The 13804-nt window shown below is 34.9% G+C and overlaps 1 long non-coding RNA gene across 1 annotated transcript in view; it reads right to left on the reverse strand.

Moving 5' to 3' along the window:
• Positions 1 to 8929: 8929 nt before the first annotated feature.
• Positions 8930 to 13804, reverse strand: part of LOC107985713 (uncharacterized) — a 119361-nt gene continuing 114486 nt past the window's right edge. The window contains exons 4-5 of the long non-coding RNA XR_001755911.2: positions 12855 to 12959; positions 8930 to 10930 (exon numbers count right to left, since the gene is read on the reverse strand). This is a non-coding gene — a long non-coding RNA (uncharacterized LOC107985713). The remainder of the gene's footprint in view (positions 10931 to 12854; positions 12960 to 13804) is intronic.

Raw genomic sequence — 13804 nt, forward strand, 5'->3', positions numbered from 1 at the left:
TCAGTTCTTTTTTTTTTTTTTTTTTTTTGAGACAGACACTCGCTCTGTTGCCCAGGCTGGAGTGCAGTGGCATGATCTTGGCTCACTGCAACCTCCGCCTCCCGGGTTCTAGCAATTCTCCTGCCTCAGTCTCCTGAGTAGCTGGGACTACAGGTGTGCACCACCATGCCCGGCTAATTTTTGTATTTTTAGTAGAGACGGGGTTTCACCATGCTTGCCAGGCTGGCCTTGAACTCCTGACCTCGTGATCTGCCCACCTCGGCCTCCCAAAGTGCTAGGATTACAGGCAAGAGCCACTGCACCTGGCCATTTGTTTCAGTTCTTATAGAAGGGGCTTTCAACTTTTTCCTATTCATTATAAAACTAGTTGTGGATTTCTCATATGTGGTCTTAATTGAATTGAGGAATATTCCTTGCATATCTAATTGGTTGAATTTTTTATCATGGAAAAATGTTGACATTTATTAATTGCTTATTCTGTGTCTATTGAGACAATCTTATTTTTTTCCCTTCATTCTGTTGATGTGATATATTATGTTTATCGATTTGCGTATGTTAAACCATCTTTGCAAGCTTGAGGTAAATCTCACTTGATCGTAGTGTATCATCTTTTTAGTGTGCTGCTGGATTTGTTTTGATAGTGTTTTGTTGAGGATTTTTGCATCTATTTTTATCAAAGTTATTGGCCTGTAGTTATGTTGTTGTTGTTGTTGTTGTTGTGTCCTTATCTGGTTTGGGTATCAGGTTCAGGCTGGCCTCATAGAATGAGTTTGAAAGAATTTTCTCCTCATTTTTTTTTGGAATAATTTAAGAATAATTGGTGTTAGTTTTTCTTTAAATATGTGGTAGAATTGAGCTGCAAAGCCATCAGTCCTGGGCTTTTCTTTGTTAGTAGAAATTTTATTACTCATTCTACTTCATTACTTGTTTTGGTTTGTTCAGTCTTTTAATTTCCTTATGGTTCAATGTAGGTATCTTGTATTTGTACAGAAATTTAGATTTTCCAATTTGTTGATGTATAGTTGTTAATAATAATCCTTCCTTATTCTTTGCATTTATATGCAAAGGTATTAGAAATAATATCTCCTTTTTGTTCCTGATTTTATTTGGGTTAATTTTTTTCCTATTCAGAACTTTTTTTTTTTTTTTTTAATTTTACTTTACGTTCTGGGATACACGTGCAGAGCGTGCAGGTTTCTTACATAGGTAGACATGTTCCATGGTGGTTTGCTGCACCTATCAACCCATCATCTAGGTTTTAAGCCCTGCATGAATTAAGTATTTGTCCTAATGCTCTCTCTCCCCTTGCCCCAAACTCCCCCACGATGGGCCCCCATGTGTGATGTTCCCTCCCTGTGTCCATGTGTTCTCATTGTTCAACTCCCACTTATGAGTGACGACATGCAGTGTTTGGTTTTCTGTTCCTGTGTTAGTTTGCCGAGAATGATGGCTTCCAGCTTCATCCACGTCCCTGCAAAGGACATGAACTCATTCTTTTTTATGGTTTCATAGTATTCCATGGTATGTATTTGCCATATTTTCTTTATCCAGTCTATCATTGATGGGCATTTAGGTTGGTTCCAAGTCTTTGCTATTGTAAATAGTGCTGCAGTAAACATATGTGTGCATGTGTCTTTATAGTAGAAGGATTTATAATCCTCTGGGTATATACCCAGTAATGGGATTGCTGTGTCAAATGGTATTTCTGGTTCTAGATCCTTGAGGAATTGCCACACTGTCTTCCACAATGGTTGAACTAATTTACACTCCCACCAAGAGTGTAAAAGCTTTTCTATTTCTCCACAGCCTCACTAGAATCTGTTGTTTCCTGACCTTTTAATAATCACCATTCTAACTGGTGCGAAATGGTATTTCATTGTAATTTTGATTTGCATTTCTCTAATGACCAGTGAGGATGAGCTTTTTTTATGTTTGTTGACTGCATAAATGTCTTCTTTTGAGAAGTGTCTGTTCATATCCTTTGCACACTTTTCAATGTTTTTTTTTCTTATATATTTGTTTAAATTCTTTCTAGATTCTGGATGTTAGACCTTTGTAAGATGGATAGATTGCAAAAATTTGCTTGCATTCTGTAGATGGCCTCTTCACTCTGATGATAGTTTCATTCGCTGTGCGGAAGCTCTTTAGTTTAATTAGATCACATTTGTCAATTTTGGCTTTTATTGCAATTGCTTTTGGTGTTTTAGTCCTGAAGTCTTTGCCTGTGCCTATGTCATGAATAGTATTGCCTAGGATTTCTTCTAGGGTTTTTATGGTTTTGGGTTTTATATTTAAATCTTTAATCCATCTTGAGTTAGTTTTTGTATAAAGTATAAGGAAGGGTCCAGTTTCTGTTTTCTGCATATGGCTAGTCAGTTTTCCCAGCACCATCTATTAAATAGGGAATCTTTTCCCCATTGCTTGTCTTTGTCAGGTTTGTCAAAGATCAGATGGTTGTAGATGTGTGGTGTTATTTCTGAGGTCTCTGTTCTTTCCCGTTGGTCTATATGTCTGTTTTGGTACCAGTACCATGCTGTTTTGGTTACTGTAGCTTTGTAGTATAGTTTGAAGTCAGGTAGCATGATGCTTCCAGCTTTTTTCTTTTTGCTTAGGATTGTCTTGGCTATATGGGCTCTTTTTTGGTTCCATATAAAATTTAAAGTAGTTTTTACTAATTCTGTGAATAAAGTCAATGGCAGCTTGATGTGAATAGCATTAAATTTATAAATTACTTTGGATACTATGGCCAATTTTATGATATTGACTCTTCCTATCCATGAGCCTGGAATGTTTTTCTATTTGTTTATACTTCTTGTTGAAGACGTCCTTCATGTCCCTTGTAAGTTGTATTCCTAAGTATTTTATTGTCTTTTTTTTTTTTTTTGAGACGGAGTCTCGCTCTGTCGCCCAGGCCGGACTGCGGACTGCAGTGGCGCAATCTCGGCTCACTGCAAGCTCCGCTTCCCGGGTTCACGCCATTCTCCTGCCTCAGCCTCCCGAGTAGCTGGGACTACAGGCGCCCGCCACCGCGCCCGGCTAATTTTTTGTATTTTTAGTAGAGATGGGGTTTCACCTTGTTAGCCAGGATGGTCTCGATCTCCTGACCTCATGATCCACCCGCCTCGGCCTCCCAAAGTGCTGGGATTACAGGCGTATTTTATTGTCTTTGTAGCAATTGTGAATGGGAGTTCACCCATGATTTGGCTCTCTGCTTGTCTATTATTGGTGTATAGGAACGTTTGTGATTTTTGCACATTGATTTTGTACCCTGAGACTTTCATGAAGTTGCTTATCAGCTTAAGTATTTTGGGGGCTGAAACAATGGGGTTTTCTAAATATAAGATCAAGTCATTTGCAAACAGAGACAATTTGACTTCCTCTATTCCTAATACCCTTTATTTCCTTCTCTTGCCTGATTGCCCTGCCCAGAACTTCCAATACTATGTTGAATAGGAGTGGTGAGAGAGGGCATCCTTGTCTGGTGCTGGTTTTCAAAGGGAATGCTTCCAGCTTTTGCCATTCAGTATGATAATGGCTATGGGTTTGTCATAAATAGCTCTTATTATTTTGAGATATGTTCTATCAACACTGTGTTTATTGAGAGTTTTTAGCAAGAAGGGATGTTTAATTTTATCAAAGACCTTTTCTGCATCTATTGAGATAATCATATAGTTTTTGTCATTGATTCTGTGTATGTGATGGATTATGTTTATTGATTTGCATATGTTTAACCAGCTTTGCATTCCAGGGATGAAGCCAACTTGATTGTGGTGGATAAGTTTTTGATGTGCTGCTGGATTCGGTTTGCCAGTATTTTATTGAGGATTTTCATATCAATGTTCATCAGGGATATTTGCCTGAAATTTTCTTTTTTTGTTGTGTCTCTGCCAGGTTTTGGTATCCAGATGATGCTGGCTTCATAAAACGAGTTAGGGAGGAGTCTCTCTTTTTCTGTTGTTTGGGATAGTTTCAGAAGGAATGGTACCAGCTCCTCTTTGTATTTCTGGTAGAATTTGGCTGTGAATCCATCTGGTCCTGGGCTTTTTTTGGTTTGCAGGTTATAAATTACTGCCTCAATTTCAGAATTTATTATTGGTCTATTCGAGGACTTCTTCCTGGTTTATTCTTTGGATGATGTATGTATCCAGGAATTTATCCATTTCTTCTCCATTTTCTAGTTTATTTATGTAGAGTGTTTATAGTATTCTCTGATGGTAGTTTGTATTACTATGGGATCAGTGGTGATATCCATTTTATCATTTTTTATTGTGTCTATTTGATTCTTCTCTCTTTTCTTATTAGTCTAGCTAGTGGTCTATTTTGTTAATCTCTTCAAAAAACAACCTCCTGGATTCATTGATTTTTTTAAATGTTTTTTGTGTCTCTATTTTCTTCAGTTCTGCTCTGATCTTAGTTCTTTCTTGTCTTCTGCTAGCTTTTGAATTTGTTTGCTCTTGCTTCTCTAGTTCTTTTAATTGTGATGTTAGGGTGTTGATTTCAGATCTTTCCTGCTTTCTGATATCGGCATTTAGTGCTATAAGTTCCCCTCTTAACACTGCTTTAGCTGCGTCCCAGAGATTCTGGTACATTGTGTCTTTGTTCTCATTGGTTTCAAAGAAGTTTATTTCTGCCTTTATTTCATTATTTACTCAGTATTCATTCAGGAGGAGGTTGTTCAGTTTCCATGTTGTGCAGTTCTGAGTGAGTTTCTTAATCCTGAATTCTAATTTGATTGTGCTGTGGTCTGAGAGACTGTTTGTTATGATATCCACTCTTTTGCATTTGCTGAAAAGTGTTTTACTTCCAATTATGTGGTCAATTTTAGAATAAGTGCTATGCAGTGCTGAGAAGAATGTATATTTTCTTGATTAGGGGTGGAGAGTTCTGTAGATGTCTATCAGGTCCACTTGGTCCAGATTATTTGGGTTTTCTATCTTTTTTCTCACTTAGTTTAGCAAATGGTTTGTTAAATTTACCATTTAAAAACTGTTTTATTTATATTTTGTATTTATTTTTCAAATTTATATTTCATTTATTTCTACTCTCTTATTCAATATTTCTTTCCTTTTACTAGTTTTGGGTTTGGACTGTTCTTGCATTTGTATTTCCTTGAGTGTCATGGTTAGGTTTGTCTGCTTAATATTGTCCCATGAGTCTTACAGGCTTTCTTCATTCTTTTTACTTTATTTTTCATCTGACTGGGATATTTCAAAAGACATAGTTTCAAATTCAGACATTATTTTTTTCTGCTTTATCTAGTCTATTCATGCTTTTTATTGTATTTTTTATCTATTGAATTATTTAGCTTTAAGATTTCTGTTGGGTCTTTCTTATGATTTATATCTCTTTGCATAAATTCTCATTCATGTCATGAATTATTTACCTGGTTTCAATGAATTGTTTATTTGTATTCTCTTGTATCTCACAGAGTTGCCTTAAGATCATTATTTTGCACTGCCTTTCAAGTATTTTATAGGTACCTTGTTTTGAAGTGTCTGTTACTGGAAAGTGGTTATATTTCTTTAGAGATATTATGTTTTCTTACTTTTTTATATTTCTTTTGTAACTATGTTGGTGTCTGCACACTTGATGAAGCATTTGCCTCTTTCAATTTTATGGAGTAACTTTCACAGGAAAAGACATTTTCCTGTAAATTTGTTCTATAGTGTCAGTTGGGTAGGGTGCTTTGGCTTTAATTCTGGGTATGCACAGTAGTGTAGTCTCTGTGTAAATTCTTTGTCTTTAACCAGTGTCAGCAGTGTCTACAGGTGTCTCAATTGCTTAGACTGTGGGTATTTGTGGAGGCACTGGTGTGGCTTTGCTGAGGGTGGGGGGCTCCAGGAAGGCCAGATATTAGGTCTTGGCAGGTAGGCATTCACCAAGTGTGTGCATTTGGTGGCTCTACCAGTTATTACAATTTTGATTTGCATTTCCCTGGTGATTAGGGTCACAGTCCATTTGGACTGGTATACAAAATATCACAAACTGGATAGCTTATAAACATTATCAATTAATTCTTCATTGTTCTAGAGACTGTAGTTTGAGATCCAAGTGCCAGCATGGTCAGGTCCTGGTCATGGCTTTCTTTTGGGTTATAGACTACTGACTTCTCTCTGTCTTTACAAGGAAGAAGGGGTGAGTGGTTTCTCTCAGGACTCTTTTTATAAGGGCACTAATCTCATTCATGAGGGTTTCACCCCCCGTGACTGAATCACCTCCTAAACTTCCCACTTCCTAATACCATCAATTTGGGTGGGAGAATTTTAACATATGAACTTTAGGGAGACATAAATATTCAGACCCTAGGAATTAGTAATGTTTAGCATCTTTTTATAAACTTGGTCATTTACATGTTCTTTTTGAAGAAATAGCTATCCAAGTACTTTGCTCATTTTAAATGGGATTATTTGGATTTTGCTATTGATTTTTAGGAGCTTTTATACTTTGCATATTAATCTTTTATCAAATACATCATATGCAAATATTATCTCCCATTCTGTCCATTGCCTTTTCACTCTGCTGCTTATTTTTTATGCTATATGGAGCTTTGTGGTTTGATATAGTCCCACTTTTTAAAAAATTTTTCTGCCTGTACTTTTTGTGTTAGATCCAAGAAATTCATTGTCAAGGCCAGTATTATAAAGATTTTTATCTATGCTTTTATTTCAGAGATTATAATAATGGTCCAACTTTTTTTTTTTTTTCTTTTTTGAGACGGAGTTTTGCTCTTGTTGCCCAGGCTGGAGTGCAATGGCATGATCTCGGCTCACCGCAACCTCCGCCTCCCGGGTTCAAGCGATTCTCCTGCCTCAGCCTCCCGAGTAGCCGGGATTACAGGCATGCACCACCACGCCCGGCTAATTTTGTATTTTTAGTAGAGACGGGGTTTCTCCATGTTGAGGCTCGTCTCGAACTCCTGACCTCAGGTGATCCGCCCGCCTCAGCCTCCCAAAGTGCTGGGATTACAGGCGTGAGCCACCGTGCCCGGCTGGTCCAACTTTTTTTTAAGTGGCTATCTGGTATCCCAGCACCATTGGTTTAAGAGATATCATTTCACCATCGTGTAGTTTTGGCACCCTTGTTAAAGATCGTTTTACAGTATATCCATGGATTTAGTTTGGAGCTCTTTGTTTTACTTCAATTATCAAGTGTCTGTCTTTATGCCAACATCATACGGGCTTGATTCCTACTGATTTGTAATATATCTTTTAATCAGAAAGTTGGAAACCCTCATCTATGGTCTTCTTTCTCAAAACTGTTTTGGTTATTTAGCATCCCTTGTGGTTCCACATGAATTATTATTTTTTTGTATTTTTGTGAAAAACAAATGAGTCCTATTGAAAAACATTAGGTTTTTTATAGAATTTGCATTGAATCTGTAAATTGCTTTTGGTAGTATAAGGCATTTTAACAATATTAATTCTTCTAACCCATGAACATAGGATGTCTTTTCATCCATTTGTGTCTTTTTTAGTTTTCTTCAGCAATATTTCATAGTTTTTACTGTACAAATCTTTTACCTCCTTGGTTAAATTTATTTCTAGGTTTTTATTCTTGTTGGTGTTGGTGTAAATTGCATTGTTTTCTTAATTTTATTTACCTATTTTTGTTGCTAGTATACATAAATGTAACTACTTTTTGTAGGTTGATTTTATATTCTGCACAGTTTCTGAATTTATTAGTTTTTACAAGTTTTATGTGGAATTTTAGAATTTTATATATATAAGATCATGTCATCTTTGAACAGAGATAATTTTACTTTTTTCATTTCGATGTAAATGCCTTTATTTATTTTTCTTGCCAATTGCTCTAGCTAGACTTCATATTATTCTGCTTAATTGAAGTGACAAATATGGACATCCTTTGGTTGCTATTCCTTTGTTCCTGATCATAAGGAAAAACTTTCAGTCCTTCACCAGTAAGTATAATATTAGTTGTGGATTTTTTATAAATAGCCTTTACTGTGTTGAGAAAATTTCTTTTTTCTCCATATTGTTAGCATTTAACTTAAATGGCTTTTGTGTTTTATCAAATGCTTTTTCTGTATCTATTAAAATGATCATGTGATCTTCATCCTTCTTTCTTCTAATGTGTTGTATTACATTGTTTGATTTTCATATGCTGAAACATTTTTATATCCCAGTGATACATTTAGCTTGATCATGGTGTAGAATCCTTTTAACATGCTGTGGAATTTGGTTTTCTAGAATTTTTATATCCATGTTCATTAGGGATATTTGCTTGTAGTTCCTCTTTCTTATAGTGTCTTTGTCTTTGGCATGAGGGTAATACTGACTTTAACAATTGAGTTTAGAAGATTTCCATCTTTTTCAAATTTGTGGAAGAATCGTAAACTAGAGAATTGTTGTTAATTCTTTAAATATTAGGTTGAATTCACCAGTGAAGCCATATTGTCCTCGGCTCTTGTTGGTAGTGTTCTGATGAATGATTCAATCTTCTTCTAGTTCAGACTGTTTTCATGGTTTAGTCATTGTGGTTTGTATATTTCTAGAGATACATGTATTTCTTCTAGGCTGTCAAATTTGTTGTTGTATAATGCTTTGCAGTAGTTTCTTAGGATCATTTTTTTCCTTGTGGGATTGGTTGTCTCCTATTTCATTTCTGATTTTTTTTACGAGTCTTCGCCCTCATTTTTTTTTATTCTAGCTAAAAGTGTATCTATTTTCTCTGATATTTTCAAAACACAACACTTAGATTTAATTTTTTTCTAGTGTTTTCTATTTATTTATTTAATTCTACTCTAATCTTTATTATTGCCTTTCTTCTGTTATTGTTTATCTTTCTTTTTCTTTTACTAGTTCCTTGAGGTGCAAAGTTAGGTTGTTTATTTGAGATAGTTCTTCGTTTTAAAGAAGTAAGCATTTAACACTATGAACTTCCCTTTTAATACTGATTTTGCTGCATTCTATATATTTTGGCAAGTTTTTTTTTTCATTTGCTTCAAAATGTTTTCTAATTTCACTTTTGATTCCTTCTTTGAATCACTCCTCGTTCAATAATGTTTAATTACCAAATATTTGTGAAGCTTCCAATTTTTCTTCCGCTATTTACTTCTAGTTTCATTCTATTATGGTTAGAAAAGTACGTGGTATAATTTAAATCTCCTGAATCTTTTAAGACTTGTTTTGTAACCTCAAATGTGCTCTATCTTGAAAAATGTTTCATGTGTACTTGAGAAGAATGTGTATTCTATTGCTGTTGGGTGAAATGTTCTGTATATGTCTGTTAGGTCCATTTGATCTATATATTGTTCATGTTCTCCGTTTATTTATAGTCTATACAAATGTTCCATCCATTATTGAAAATGGAGCATTAAAGTCTCCTATTATTATTTTATCACTGTCTATTTTTCCCTTCATTTATGTCAATGTTTTTTCCATATATTTGGGTGCTCTCTTATAGGGTACACAGACACACACACACACACACACACACACACATATATATATACATATATATATAATTTATCTTCCTGGTGAATAAACCTTTTATATATATGTATATGTGTATGTGTGTGTATGTATATATATGTATATATGTATATATATACACACATATATGTAAATATATATACATAAATGTCTTCTTTATTTCTTGTGAGAGTTTTTGACTTAAAGTTTATAGTCCATTTAGTCTGGTATAAGTATGGCCACCCCTGCTCCCTTTTGGCTACCATTTGCATACTGTACCTTTCTTCTACGCTTTCACTTTCAGTCTATGTGTGTTCTTATTTTTTTTACATTCTACATACAAATGTTCTCAATACATGTGTCTTTAAAGTAAATCTCTTGTAAGCAATGTATCGTTGGATTTTAAAAATTCATTGCGTTCCTCTTTTCATTGGGTGGTTCTATCCATCTACACTTAAAGCAATTGCTGACAGGGAGGGACTTACTATAGCCATTTTGTTGTTTTCTGTCTGTCTTGTAGCTTTTTTGTTTTTTTCCTCTTTTTGTCTTTTGTGTTTCCTTTTTTTTTTTTTTAGTGACATGCTTTGATTCCTTTATCATTTTCTTTTATGCATCTTCTATCAGTATTTTCTTTGATGTTACTGTCTTACCTGTTATAGTAAACTATCATAGACTGGGAAGCTTAAGCAACAAATATTTATTTATCTCCATTCTAGGGCTAAAAATCTGAGATCGGGTGTCACCATGGCTGGGTTCTTGCTGAGGGCCCTCATTCTGATTTATAGTCAGTTGCCTTCCTGATATATCCTCATGAGACAAAGTAAAATCGTCTCTCTTATTTGTCTCTCATCTCTCTCATAAGAACACTAATCCTATTCACAAAGGCTACATATTCTTGATCTCATTACCTCCCCAAAGCGCCACTTCCAAATACCATGATATTGGGTCTTCAGCATGAATTTGGGGGGAGGCACAAACATTAATTTTTATAACAGTTACCATTTGGCTTACATAAAACATCTAACATATATATATATATTTTTAAAGCTGATAACAACTTAACTTGAATTGTACACAAAAACCCTACTCTTTTATTTTGCCCCCAAATTATGTTATGGACATCACAAATTACATCTTCTATTGTGTATCCATTAACCTATGCCTAAGTTATAGTTATTTTTATACTTTTCTCATCTTCTGTATTAGAATAAAATTGACTTGTGCAGTGCTGTTATAGCAATATTCTGCATTTGTGTATATGTTTGTTATTACCAATAAACTTTCACTTTCTTATGCTTTTATGATGTTCTTTAGTGTTCTTTCATCTTGACGAACTCTCTTCAGCATTTCTTGTAATGCAAATCTGGTGGTAATGTACTTTCTCAGCATTTGTAAACACTTCTGGGGTATTCTTTATTTCTCCTTCATTTTTGAAGCACAGTGTTGTCAGATAAAGTAGTCTTGGTTGTATATGAGCCTTAATTCTACTTTCTACAAGCCTGTGGAAAATATTTTTGTTAGTTGGGCTTACGATATTATTAACTATAATCTTCTTGCAATACTTGCATGTTCCTATGTTTATCTTTACTTTTCCAAAGGTAAAATAATTTTCTGCTGCTTCCCAAATTACTTTAACTGTCAACATTATAAAACCTTGAGATGAAAAATCTAAACCTTCAAAAACTTAACTAAATTTCCTTACTCAAGCTTTCTAATTTCTGATTATGAAATATCATTTGCACCAATTAACAAAAACAAGGTACTCTTTATAACCCATTTCTAGTTCCTAACCTAATTATTCTTCTTAAATGCTTGAATATAAATGTGAAATTGAACAAATTTGAGGTTCTTGCATCACTCCTATATCTAAAGTATCTGTTTCACTAGTGTATGTTAATAAGAGTGTGGGAAAATGGTGCTTTAATAATCGTGAGGTTAGATGCTCATCTGATGTTCGCAGCTATGTTATATTACCAACCATTTTCTCTTTTGTGATTGACCAATGCCCACACATTGATGATTTTTAAATATTTAAATATCATTATGCTTCTTTGGTTTTTCAATAATTTTAGGAAATGATTAGCTAAATCTCCATACTTCTTACGAATTTTATGAAATATAAGTTAAAAGAGTAAAGCCGGTACTCAAAACTTAGCATGTTTGCATTAACTGTCATTTATCTATATTTATACCTCTGTATATAAATACAGAAATAATTACAAAAATGTAAATGTAAAAATATAAACATCTGTATTTATATATCTGCGTCTCTATATATCGGCAGAGGAGAGAGAAATACAAAGACAGAGAGAGAGAGAAAGCTATTTGGATACATTTTAATTTCTGATAATAAAGTTATATGTTTAGGGATTTACAATAACCTTACTTATTAGGAATAAGCAGTGGCATCAATAATAAAAGAACTTTGCATGTCTTCAGCTTCTACATTTGGATCAAAATTTTCTTGACATAATCTATATCTATTTTTTAAGGTGAGAACTGGTGACTCACTTTAGTTTCTTTTTTCCCCAAAAATTGGATATTTAAATTGACAACCTCAATCTCTTCCAGCTTTATGGAAATACACAATCTGTATATACTCATTCATATGCATAGTGATATTTGTTGATTAACTCACTAGTCCTCAATTATAGCCATTAATTTCCTTGTGTTGATAATAATTCTTTCTTGATATAGCACCATGCTTACTGAGATTTTTCTGTAAAATATTTCATAAAGCATTATACTTCGATACTTACTTTTGGAATATTAGATTTGATAGTTACAAAAATAAAGATGAATAACATAACATAATAATTATTAATTATAATAATTATTCTCAAAATCGTTTGTTGTAAAGGGCATATTGTTAAAAATATCTTCACTCCCCTTTCTTCCCTTTTACTGTGGGATGAATATATTTTCATGCCCTATTAATGTTAGGCTTAGGTATGTGACTTGTTTGTGCAATGGCATATGAACAAATGTGATATACAAATGTCCAATAAATGCTAATTATTGGCACTTCTCATGAGGTTCTGATAGATACCTGCAGAATAAAATGTTTTATATAACAGACATTAATTCATTCTCGGTACTAGGATAGGAAAACACATCATGCAAACCTTAGCACTCTGTTCAGCCTGAATCTAAACCAAGTCAACATTAAGAGAGTTAAATAGAATCATAGCCAACCCAAAGACTCAGTACTGATAAATATGTGTTTACTACAATTCATGAGATTTGTGAGTTACTTATTACTGCACCAAAGGCTGGCTAATACATTATGTTTAGAAAAGATATATATTTGAGGTGTCTTTTGTTGTAAATAATAATCATATCAATATAAACAACTGCTGTTGCTTAGTCAACATTGGTTTATTTTTTTCACAGACAAAACAATGTAATACAGGAAGTACTTACTGTTGGCATTTATTATGCGTCTCTTGGTGTTTTTAGGTTTCCTTCATTTATCTCAAGATGGCTGCTGTAGTTCTAGATATTGTGTCAGCATTCAGTGCAGAAGAACTGGAGAATAAAAAAGAATAACATTGGCCAGGCGCGGTGGTTCACGCCTGTAATCCCAGCAATTTGGGAGGCCCAGCCGGGCGGATCACGAGGTCAGGAGATCGAGATCGTCTTGGCTAAAACGGTGAAACCCCGTCTCTACTAAAAATACAAAAAATTATCCGGGCGTGGTTGCAGGCGCCTGTAGTCCCAGCTACTTGGGAGGCTGAGGCAGGAGAATGGCGTGAACCTGGGAGGCGGAGCTTGCAGTGAGCGGAGATCGCGCCACTGCACTCCAGCCTGGGCAACAGAGCGAGCCTCCATCTCAAAAAAAAAGAATTACATTTTTAAAAATTTAATTGGGAAATACAAAACTTGTCCAAAGGCAACTGGCAGACTTCTTCTAGAACTGGATCACATGAACCCTCATATCTATAATGTAGCCTAAGAAATAGGGTAACACATTGCTCTTATAGAATTAGAAAAATTCTCTTTTTTTTCCCCCCTGAGATGGAGGTTTACTCTGTCGCCCAGGCTGAAGGGCCAGTGGAACCATCTTGACTCAATTCAACCTTTGCCTCCCGGTTTCACATGATTCTCCTGCCTTAGCCACCTGAGTAGCTGGGACTACAGCCACGCGCCACAATGCCCAGCTAATTTTGGCGCTTTTAGTAGAGACAGAGTTTCACCATGTCAGCCAAGTGGTCTCAAACTCCTGACCTCAGGTGATCCGCCTTCCTTGGCCTCCCAAAGTGCTGGGATTACAAGCATGAGCCACTGTGCCCAGCCCCTAGAATTAGATGATAAATTCTGATCCATTGCTTAAGACTGGTACAATGTTGTCCCATACAAAATTTGGCTTCTAA

Source organism: Homo sapiens, chromosome X (genome assembly GCF_000001405.40).
Source record: "Homo sapiens chromosome X, GRCh38.p14 Primary Assembly".
Lineage (NCBI taxonomy): Eukaryota > Metazoa > Chordata > Mammalia > Primates > Hominidae > Homo > Homo sapiens.